Raw genomic sequence first — 11,932 nt, 5'->3', positions numbered from 1 at the left:
GAACATCAATGTACATAAATTTTTGCATGTCTAATTGTTTTTATAGGAAACAAGGGAATATAGCTCAGTTGTTAAAAATGTGTTCTCTAGAGTTTGGCTGCTTACGTTCAAATCCTGACTCTACCAATTTGTTAGCTGTGACCTTGGGTAAATGATTTAACTTCTATGGACCTCAGTTTTCTCTTTTGCTGTTCTATTGGGAATATAGAAATAGCTCGTCAACATCTTAATTTGCATTTTCCTAATGGCTAGTGATGTTGAACATCTTTTCATAGACTTATGTGTCATCTATAAATCCTCTTTGATAAAATGTTCATTTTATAGCCCATTTTCCTATCAGATTGTTTTTTCTTTTACTGTTGAGTTTTAAGGGCTCTTTATATATTCTAAATAAGAGTCAGACATGCGGTTTACAAATATTTTCTCACGATCTGTAACTTATCTTTTGATTCTCTTAACAGGGTCTCCTGCAAAGCAAACGTTTTAATTTTGATAACGCTCAACTTATCAATTATTTTTTCATTTATGGATTGTGCTTTTGGTGTCATGTTGAAGAACTCTTCAAGCCCCATGTCCCACAGATTTTTTCCCATGTTCTAAACATTTTATAGTTTTATTTTGCTTTTAAATCTGATTCATTTTGGGTTATTTGTTTAAGCAGTGAGGTTTTTTGTCTAGATTGGTTTGCTCATTATTGCTGAAAAAAAAAAAAGACTGTGGAGGACAGAGAGCTTTATTTTCTTAAAAAATGTCTGCAGACTGGGGAGGCACAGCTTTCAATACAAGTGAAAATGTGCTCGCCTAAGAACAAAGGGAGGGTCTGGCTTAAACAGGGAAAGTTTCTCACCCCGATTCTCAATCAGGTCCACGTATGCAAATGAAAGATTTAAACTTGTGCCAGTCTGATTGGGTGGCTTCCAAGCCCCAAACTAGAAGTCTTTGTAAGATAGTTCTTCGGCCGGGTGGTGGGGAGAGGGTGTTTCTGGCCACAGTTTATCTAGGCACCATCAGAAACTGGTTTGGCTTGATCATACAAAGGGAGGCCCTGTGACACTTTTGCAACACCTTTCTGAGAATACTGACTATATGACCACCACCCCCTCACGCAGCCATGGCAGACTGGTTCTGTTTTAACTTTCAGCACCTCTGTTGGTTACAGAGAATCTGTTTTATCTGTTGGCCAGGAACCTACCTAACTCTAATATGGACTCATGGATTCTTATTTTATTCAATTGCTGTTATTATTCATTTTGTGTACACCTTTAATCCAGAAATTCTCCTTCTAAGACTTTTCCCAAAGGTAATAATTAGTATCCCATCACTACTTTTTTTTTTCTCTAAAAGTGCCTTGGCTACTCATACCTCTCTATTCTTACACATAATCTTTAAAATATTCTATTTTACTTTGTTAAGACATGATTTACATAGCACAAAATTCATCAGTTTTAAGCGTACAATTCAATGGACTTTGGTGTATTTAAAGACTTGTGTAACCATCATCATGGTTTCATTTCAGAACATTTTCATCACTCCCCTCACCAAAAAAAAAAAATGGGGAAGAACCTTTTGTGTGCACTTGCAGTCACTCCTCAATCCCACTCCAACCCCTGGGCAACTACTAATCTAGTTCTATCACTCTAGATTTGCCTTTTCTAGACTTTCACTACAAATGGAGTGATACATTCCAATATGTAGTTTTTTGTGTCTGGTTTATTTCACTGAGCATAATGCTTTTGAAATCATCCATGTTGTGGCAAGTAATTGTATTCCATTTCTTTTTATTGTTGAGTAATATTCCATTGCATGGATATGTCACATTTTGAGGATCCATTCACTAGCTGATGGGTATTTGCATTGGTTCTACTTTTTAAGCTACCATGAATAATGCTGTTATGAATATTCACCTACAAGTTTTATGTGAAAATTTGTCTTCATGTCTCTTGAGTAGATCCCTAGAGTAATGTTGATAAGTTAAAAAGACAAATCCAGTCGGATGTTGATTGGAATTGCATTAAACAAAAGGAATGATTGACATATTTATAATATTGGTTTTCTATTCAGAAATAAGGCATTTTCCTGTACTTATTCAACAGTTAAAACCTCCTTCTAGTTCTTCTTACTTATATAGGCTACTTGATTAACAGGTTGCTCTCTAATAATTTTAATGCATTTTTGGAGACTCCCCTTTGCCCACCAATCTGTTCACTGTCCAGTACATGGAAGGAGTGCAATAGATATTGGCCAGTCACTTTCCTTGGTGTGAAGGATGCAGCAGTGAAAAAGATGACGTAGCTGCTCTTATTGAGCTTACTTTCTAGCTGACTAAAGGAAGAATTTGCCTGAAATCTTAAAATAGGTGAAGAGTGCTGAAGCAGTGGAAGTAGTTAGTGAATGAGAATGAGAAATGGTGGAATTCTAGGTTCTAGGTAGGGGCCAGGGCCATCTTTTCAATCTAGAATGTCTCTGAGATACAAATCACTCACATTTTTTTAGACTAGCATGCAACTAAGGTTTTGTCCGGCTCTTCAAGCACACAGTACTAGGAAGATCTATGACAAAGATCTATGTAGTCTTTGCTAATTGTAGGACAGGAGGGAAGATGGGTGAGCCACACTCTCAGAAATAAAGTTAACTGCAATAAAGCCAATGTGACTTCTATTTACAACCTCATCAGTTGGTAAGATCTTGTAATCCCTGTAATTCCTCAGGTGTATTACTTACATTATGCAAGCTACTGGCTCATGAGATTGACAGCAAAACTCTAAAAAATGTTATTGCATTTAGTTGGAGGATATGAGAAAAGTGGTAGCCTAGCCAGGAAAATGCCCACAGGTGAGAGTAGAAGCTAGCAGAGTTCCTAGAAGATGAAAAGGAACACCCAGAGAGGCTGCGTAGATGAACAGTGGGGTCTCGCATGGGAAGAAGTGCTTCCTCCAGAGGCACAGGGTTGATAACCCTTCTGCCTGAGAATCCTACCAAGAGTGGGGGCTGCAGGAAGAAGAGCCTCCAAAGCCTCCTAGAGAGTTTTGCAAACAGCTAGTCCATCATGATCAGCCTCACACAGAGATACTGTGTTGAAAAAGTTAGGTAATCTATCGAATGAACAGTAATGATAAAATGCTGAAGACAGAAGTACAATAGAAGTGTTTGAACTAGATGTAAGCATATCACCTGGATTAGGTAGAGAAATATTTCATAGAATGTTTCTTTAAAAATAGACTCAAAGTGGGTTAACCTCTTTCTCTGTCTTGAAACAATACAGGGCCCTAGGTACTTGTCCCTCTGTGGATAATGAGATCTTGAATACAGATAACTAGAAGATGAATTCCCCTGGTGATCCTGAGCTTCTGCGGGTTCACTAACGATCAGGAGAAGGGAGTAAACAGAACCCTAACAAATGGTGAGACAAAACGAAGAAGGTGTCATAGACACTGGAAGGATAGAGAAATGATAGCAAAGCGTTTGTTTTCCTTGGATGAAGAAAATGCACTAGGATAAACTAAGTGACACTCAGCTAGGAAAAAAATGCCAGCTAATATCTCTGGGGTATTGTCTAGAGAAACAAGGTAGTTAATGAGCTAAATAAACCTGAACAGCCATGTTGCTGAAAGAAGGTAGAAAGAGCAGTGAATAAGAAAGCAGGTAGGTGTTTGCAGTGTGATTGCAAAGGTCAATATGTTAAGTGGCAAAACCAAAAATAATGGCCGAAGACAGAGATTCTTAGTACCTAACCATTCAATAGCTAAGACCATGTTTTTTAAAATTATATTCTTTGAGAAATACTGGTTTTCCATAACTAGGTCAAGATGTCCCATGGCTCAAATAGAATGAGTGTGTTCTTTTCCAATTTTTAGGAGAAATAATGTTATCAGACAAAGGTTCATAGCTTTAAGGTTTTCTTCTATAAGTATTCCTTACATATTTGATGTCTACTATATTTCTATGTAAGAATCGAATGTCAGATGGTTTCGTGATAGATACAATCAAAATCGTATGTGAATTTATTTTAAGTTTGATATTTCATAATATTCCAAGAAGCACTCTGAGATTTTCAAATGTCCCACCTCCTGAAGAGATTTGCGAATCGCAACTCCAACTGGGGACAAAGTACAAACCCAAACCAGTAGCTTCTGTGTGTTGTGGGAATTGTAATTTTACCATGTTTTGTATAAACCAATGTTTCTGGTTGCACAAGAGAAGCAGAAAAAGTGGGCTAATGAGCGTTACCTGAAGGACCTATCCCGAGTTTCCACAGCTTTAAGTGAGAATATGAGGGCTCAGAGAACAGGAAGGAATCTTAAAAGCCATCTAGTACTTTTTTAAACTACATCATTTGATACCAACTATTCAACATTATGCACCATTTAAATAGTGCATTAATATGTATTGGGTCCAACAGGTTATGCAATATGCCCTTGAGATTTTCATGGCTGAAAAAGCAACGAAGGAATGAAATTATCTAGTTTGACTTTCTGCATCTTTTAAATAAATAGGACATTTCAAGTCTCCTCCTCACCTATGAGGTGAAGAGATCATCCAGGGAAAAGATTCAATACTTTGACATAGTTTAGAACCTGTCTTGCTTAGAGACAGAAACTAGCTGACATTTTGATATCTCCGCAGGCCAATAGAGACAGGAACAGAAAATCGGAGCACTAGCTCCATTGATGAAATCCTGTAGTCTCGTAACTTCCTCAGAGGTGAGCAGCATGGCCCCCTGACCCCAGTCCAACTGGGATTCCTCACCTCACCTTCCGCTGCGATAGGCTGCAGGGCAATTCCTTTACTGCTTACAAAACGAAGCTGCAGAAATTCTGAGTTCCCACATTTCTAGAATAAGCCATTAAACCTATCTGCGTTCTGATGAGTAAGCTCGAGGTAACTGCTGTAAATTACGATCTTTTCTCATTCTCCTCCCTTGGGTTGCGGATTCTTAGCCTTGATCATACACATATTTATCTCTGTAAATGGAAAAAACATTTCTTAACCCCTCCCTGCTCCGAAAAAAGTGGAGCTATAACACTGATTGGTATCAAATTTCTAGAAAGTATAATCTTTCTATCATTGCATTAATATTAATGTCATCAAAAGTCAGAAGCTGTAAGTGATTGGGAGGAATTTGGAGGAAATCTGTGACACAGCCTCTTTGTAAGGTGAATATACTAAGTTCTTACACAATTTGCTGTAAATACTTACCTCTCTCTCTCCCTCTCTCTGTAAATTTTTCAGTAATCAAGCCCTGATCCTTGTGGGGCATGGCTTTGGAAAATAATGAAATTCAGAAATATTTTGAAATATTATCTCTGATTTTTCTGCATATCATTTTCCAATACACCATACCATTATTTTGCCTCTATAGAAAGCTATGTAATCACTTTGCTTTGCCTGTCAAGAAGTGATGTTGGCATCTTTCTCACTAGAAAAGAAATATTTGTGATGCTTTTCTGATGTATTGATACTTTAATCTTCTTTAGTGTAAAGAAGCCAGCTCAGATTGTAAGAGTTTATCTTCTTTAGTATGAAGAAGCCAGCTCAGTTTGTAAGATTTTATAGAAATTCAGGACTAAATTTAGTGTGAAAAATGTTGTGTGCATTTTTCCTTCTGAGAATATACACATATATGTGTGTGTGTGTGTGTGTGTGTATGTATACACACATACTATTTATTACTTTAGTGCATTTTAATCATTTAACATATCTTTTATGGTTGGGATAAGATCATAAGAGTTTCATTGGATAAAAACACATCATCAGTGTTGATTTATTGGTTTTATATATTAGACATATATATGCTTTGTGATGATAATTTGAGGGAGGCAGTTTTCACTTTCACTATGACTCTGTATTTACACCCCTAAAGAATATAAATGTCTTACAGATGTTGCCATGGGGTCATCTGAAAGTTGTGTGCAAAAAGAAGGGTTGGCACTGCTTCAAATGTGAAATTTCATGCCACAGTGTGACCCTTTGCTCCCTTACACGTTGAGTTACATGTTTAATAACTCAGTAGTGGAGATTTCCAAACACTGTGGAGATACTAGAGGCCGCCCCTGATTCCTAAATGGTGGGACTCACAGGATGCTCCAATGGCATGGGTCTGAGATTTAAGGAAACCTAAGCCTATTGCAAAACACAATTGCTCTCGGAGGGTGAGGCTCAGAAGATAAGGAGGTGAGAGAGTGGAGACCAGGAAGCCACTGCCGCCTGGCTGGGACTCATTCAGAACTACAAAGCATTCTGGGGAACCATCGTGTATCTTTCAGATCTGACCCAAACTTCATAGGTAGCACTTGACCTTGACTGCATCTCCAGTACCCAGCACAGTGCCCAATAGGGAATGGCCACTCTGTAACTATTCACCATCATCATCACACCACCATTAACGTCTAAATAATACTTTACAGGCCTCATCGCCCATACCCCAAGCAACATCTGTAGTGGCAGCTCCATGATTTCTGTATGGAATAGGCTTAGGGACAGTGATATATACCTAGCCAGTACTCATCTTTTTCTTCCATCTATTCACTTGGTGGGGCCCTGGAGGGACAGTGGAGATGAGGCAGGACCAGACTTCCCCTTCTCCACAAATAACTGATGCTGCCACTGCCACTGATGATCTCATTTCTTCCTCACAACTACCCTGAAAAAGAGTTACAAGTCACCCTCGTAGACAATACAACTATATGCAGAGACTTAAGTGACCTGCTCAAGGTCATATGACTGGAAGGGGCTTAATTACTCGGGTACAAATGGTCTAAATCCAAAGAGTAATCCCAAAGTAAATTCGATCTCCCGGAAAGCTGAATTAAGGCCCCAAATTCACCAAGTCTGTTTCCTAAACAGATGCATAGATCTGAAAAAGCCACCAAATTTTAACTTTCCTCTTCTACTCTAGCTAAAAAAAACATGCTGCTGCCCTACGTAAGAAACATACATTTAGCCACAGGTGTCACAGACCTCCAGGTTCACTATTTGAAATACATATTTAAAAGCAAAATATTCTCTTTCTTACACACACACACACCCTCCACAAGCCTAGGATGGTAAAGATGGGGATCATTTAAATTCTGTTACCCTATCCCTAAAATGAGAAAATTGGAATACAGCAGTGGTTCTTGAGGTTTAACATGCATGCAAATCACCTGAGCATCTTGTGAAAATGAAGATTTGGAATCATCAGGTTTGCAATGGACCCCAAGATTCTATACTGCTAACCACCTCCCAGGTGGCACTGATGCTGCTGGTTCTTGGATTATAATTTGAGCATTAAGTACCTTAAGGCCCCTTCCCACTCTACGTTTCTTACCATCTCTGTCAATGGCACACTTAGCTGCCTGCTACCTAGGCCATCATGTCTTCCCTGCCACCTTGTGTGGCCCTGTACACCAATCAAAGAAGTTATGCCCCACCCTATCCCTTTCCTCCACTCACCCAAATCCATGCCAGGTCAAGCCGGGGGGGATCCAGACTCATGAAGTATTCCCTAACTAATTGTCTCCCTCAATGATCTTTTTCTTCTTTTTTGCCTAAGGTGTACTGATGAATCTAATTAGATTATATGATAATAACACCGTGTCCTTTATTATTTTTTCCCCAGGAATACTTTCAAGTGATCGACTCCTTTTCAGCTTTCAGTTCTCAGTGGAATGACACTTCTTGGAGAAGCCTTCCCTGAATTCCCAATCTAAATTGTTCTCTCTTGCTGCCCGTGTGACCAGTCACAGCAACCTCTTTTAATTTCTTCGTACCGCTCACCAAGATTTGAAATTTTCTCACTTGTTTATTTACTTGTTTTTTATCTCAAACTCCCACCACTGAGAGTGACTGTGTTTGCACAGATCACCACTACTTTATCCCTACTGCCTAGAACGATAACGATAACACAATAGACACTCAGTAAATATTTGTTGAGTGAATGATGCAAGAATCATAGGGTGGGGTACACAGAGGTGCTTAAGAAAATCCTTACTGGATGAATCAGAGCTCTGCCACCCAAGTAGCAATCCAGGAATTGCTACTTGGAATTCTTGGGTTTCTTTCTTTACGTTTGAAAACTAGTTCTTTATCTGTGTGTATCCTTTTTCCTGCGGTGTATACACAGCAGCTCATATCACAATTAATTTTGAAAGCAGATCAGACATGTGAGCAATTAGCTCTCAGTAGGACAAGTCATCTCTCCATGCGCTTGTAGATTATACAAAATGATATGAATGACATTAGTGTGGACATTTAGGATATGTTTTGGGAACACAGGGCACATTCAGCTGTGGGTCTCATCTTGGCTGCTCCATTGATGGAGCCCTCCCTGCAAAGTTTTTTCCAGGCTCAGCTTTGATCTGCTTTCAGGCCTGCCAACAAACTCTAGTTTCTCATCTCAGACCTCAATTATTTCGTAAGAATCGCACAGAATCCAGCTTTGATGGTGTACATGAAAAATGGTAGAAAATTCAGGCTATTGGGGAAAACTGAATGTATAAAAATGAACCCCACTTATTAGAGACACCACCCCTGATAGGTCTGTCACTGAGAAAGACAAATGAATGGGGCTGAAGACAGAGATAGAAGCTGTCATTGCTACATGCTATTGACCTGGAACGGAGGCAGCAGAATCTGCCTGATGTGTTCTAAGGAAGGCTCTTTAGATCTTGCACCATTTCTTTTTTCCACTGTTTCTGTGGTGGAAGTGTTTGGGCTTGAACTTCTTTGATTCCTCTCAGAAATACAAGAAATGAGCTTGATCTTGATCTTGACACTAGCATGAGTTTATCCTTGGTTTCAAAGCTGAAGTTCTTGAAAGTGAGTTGAGCTCTATCTCTTCAGAAGTTCATTTGTGGGACCCTGGGGACTGCATGCAGGAGCAACTGCCTGTCCCTCTAGCATGGCAGTGTTCCATAGGAAAGGGCTAGAAACACAAACCATGCAACCTCTAACTATGAGAAACCCCAAGGCTAAGCCCAGCCCAGCTTGGAAACACTATCCTCAGGCTTTGAAGTTCTGTTGTTCCATCCAGGCTTTGCTTGTTTTTTTTTTTTCTGCTTATTCTCTTCTAAAATAAATTTAATGTTGCATTTCATGTTTTCTGTCTTATCGGGCTCTTTTGTCCTTTGCATGTTCCATGAGAAAATTGAGAGGCTATCAGGTACACTGTGGTGGGGCTGCAAATAACATATAGGATGCCTAGTTAAATCCGAATTTTAGGTAAACAACAAAGAGTTTTTTAGTGGAAGTATATCCCACGCAATAGTTTTATTTGCTAAATCTAGTGACTCTAGTTGTATGCTTATTGTTTTATTTTGTCATGCTTTTTTGTCATTTTGTTTTTTATTGGCAGAGGTATGAAAAGGGTAAGGAAGGAATGAAGAGAAGGAGTTATTTTGTATCCTGTTTTTGATCTGGGGTTGACCGTTTCTGTCTTCTTATATAGAGATGTCATACCAAGGTTTGAAGGTCCTTTCTATGAAATCTTCCAACTTCTGGTCTGAAGAATGTCTCTTGGTTGTGTTTTTGCAAATTTCTAATTTGACTACAGTGTGTCATGAGTTTGAAATCTGAGTTATTGAGCAAATTGAAATTAAAGGGTCCCGGTTAATTGCAAAATGAGCAAAGTTGCAATGGAGAAAAGTGTTTTCATTCTCATATGGAGCAAGCTTTCTGGAGTGGCATTGGACCTATGTCATCTGGGTAGGGGTAGTTCAATCACAGCAGCTGATCCTGTAAGCCTACTTCAGAGATAATAAGTACAGATACAGTTCCATGTGGATCCCAGAAAATATGAATGGAACAGGAGAGTGAGGGTATCAAGCTGGGAGATGTTAGGACCAATAAGGTGATAGCTAAGTTTAATGAGTGCTTACTACGTGCTAAGCATTAGCCTACACTGACTACACTCTTTTAATCTTTACTACAATGCTATGAATAAGGTATCAGTGTCATTATCCCCATTACAGATGGGGAAATTGAGGCAGACAAGATTAAGTAATTTAGTTAGTGGAGGAGATAAACTGGCTCCAGAACTCACAACACTAAACTACTTATTTCTGCAGCCTGCACTATCTGTGAGAGAAAGGTGTGTGCAGAGGCAGGAGGTGCTGAGCTGTTGGTATAAGCAGACTTCCCTTCTCTGGCACACTCCTGGAGACCAAGAAGGTCCTGTGTGTGCCCATGACGCTGTCTTCCCCTACGCAGCCCTGGGAGCACAGGCAGGCGAGTCAAGCACACCAGGCTAGGTTGGTGAAATGATCCAGGAAGTAAATGAGTTGTGAATAAATTATGAGACTGAATAAATTATATAAGGATTTTTTTTTAAGATAGAGCAAATGAAAGGTTGCAGGTCAGAATTTAATCCAACTAAACTAAGCTAATCTTCATCCTCTTCTCTTACTTTCCCAGGGCCTTCATTATGTTCCCTGCTACAAGGTCAGAAGGCTGTGCTGAGCTCCAAAATCTGGAGACACTAGTGAATTATTAAGACTAGGTAGTTGTAGCCTTTCAGTCCTTAGCACGGTGAAAGTGGGGTCCCACAGTCTCGGAAATCATCCAAACTGAAATGGCCAGGGAGATTAGAAGGAAAATAACGCCAGAAGGGCCAAGAGTATCCTTGTTCCTTTAAAAATAACTCTAATAACTTGAAAGCCCCTGGGAATGTATGTTGATTCTGTATTACAGAGGGGATAACGGACTCCGCTGGAAACAGATGTGATCTGCTTGATTTCCTCTGATACCATGAGCTGAAAACAAAGAAAACTACTGAACGTGATAACATTCAGGTTAAACAGTTCAAAGTTCCAAAAAGCGCAGTTTGGAAGGAAGCCTTTGAGTAATAAGCCATAAATTTTGTTGCAATCATCAACATAAGACAAAACTAGCTATGTCCCAAGGCCCTTTGTCTAGAAAAGAATTCTTTTCTTCTCCAAATCCCTCAAATGAGTTTTAAATGTGCAAATGATGGCTATAATTTACACAGAAACTTGAAACTATTAGCAGTTTAATCCACCTAAAATCCTAATGAAGTTCTGCAGTATTATTCCTGTTTGTACAGCCCAGCAAACAGAGCACAGGAACTGCCGCCCATAGACTCTGGCAGCTAGCTGTGCAATGAAATGAGACTGTAGGCCCAATCTTTGTAAAAAATACCAGATTATTATTGGGATTCAGGAGATCTGGAAGTTCAGAGCCAAAAAGGCTTTAGAAAACGACAACTAGATCTTATTATTTTTCCTTTGCAGTGATTTCTCTAAAAGGAAACAACCCAATGTGGGATTTAAAACTTTCCCTTCATTATGGTTTGTTTTCTAATAGCCTGAATCTGAGCATGAATAGGTAGGGGGAAGGCGGTGGGTTCCGGACACCCTGATCATCATTCAGATTCGTTATTTGCTTGAAAAGGGTGACAGAGGCCACCTTTCCAACAGGTGAATGCAGGGTTGCCTTTTAGAAAACACTTCTGCTTCGTTCCCTCCTGTCCCCCACCGTCTCTATCCCCATCTCTTAGATCACTGTTCACATTTATATCATTGAACTTGTAAATTGGTTGTCTTTATTGTTCTTTTTGAAAAGTGTCTGCTCTAGATTTAAGCACAAGTGAATGCTGTGTATGTGGGGAACAATCTTGTAACAGGAGCTGCGGGCAGCAGAGCCCTCCTGTGTGGGTTTTGTGGACCCCTAAGCAGCAAAACTCAGAATATATAACACCCACCACCACCAAAATATTTATCTGGATCCAAAATTTCAGACAGCACTTGCTTCATCTGCTCTTCTGTTCCTTTCTTCCTGAATCCTGGCTGCCTCATTTCAATAGATAAATGAAATCTTTCTCACTTTCTCAATACTCTTTGGGGAAATTCCACTTTGAAATTCTCTTTTCCCTGTCATTTTTACTTTACAGTTGAGAAGACAGGGATGAACTAGGAAACAGGATCTCGATCTCTTTCTC

General features: G+C 39.4%; 2 long non-coding RNA genes across 6 annotated transcripts in view, besides 1 other annotated feature; both read right to left on the bottom strand.

Annotated features, from left to right (window-relative positions):
- The window catches only part of MIR3976HG (MIR3976 host gene), a 165,609-nt gene that overhangs the window by 6,024 nt on the left and 147,653 nt on the right, over positions 1-11,932 (bottom strand). The window contains exon 10 of one of the 4 annotated variants that reach the window (NR_172503.1): positions 4,752-4,961. The exons of the other annotated variants lie outside the window; for them this stretch is intronic. This is a non-coding gene — a long non-coding RNA (MIR3976 host gene). The remainder of the gene's footprint in view (positions 1-4,751; positions 4,962-11,932) is intronic. 4 annotated transcript variants of the gene reach the window in all.
- The window catches only part of LOC121725015 (uncharacterized), a 93,648-nt gene that overhangs the window by 80,991 nt on the left and 725 nt on the right, over positions 1-11,932 (bottom strand). The window lies entirely within an intron of this gene.
- Positions 7,191-8,390: an enhancer, noted in NCBI's record as "MED14-independent group 3 enhancer chr18:5899993-5901192 (GRCh37/hg19 assembly coordinates)". NCBI's record gives its function as "activates an origin of replication core promoter dependent on BRD2, BRD4, P300/CBP and CDK7 cofactors, and independent of MED14, by STARR-seq in HCT116 cells {active_cell/tissue: HCT116}" and the evidence as "EXISTENCE:reporter gene assay evidence [ECO:0000049][PMID:35650434]".

This window comes from Homo sapiens, chromosome 18 (assembly GCF_000001405.40).
Source record: "Homo sapiens chromosome 18, GRCh38.p14 Primary Assembly".
NCBI classification, from domain to species: domain Eukaryota; kingdom Metazoa; phylum Chordata; class Mammalia; order Primates; family Hominidae; genus Homo; species Homo sapiens.
The sequence above is the reverse complement of the archived record's forward strand: the minus strand, read 5'-3'. Positions and strand labels throughout refer to the sequence as shown.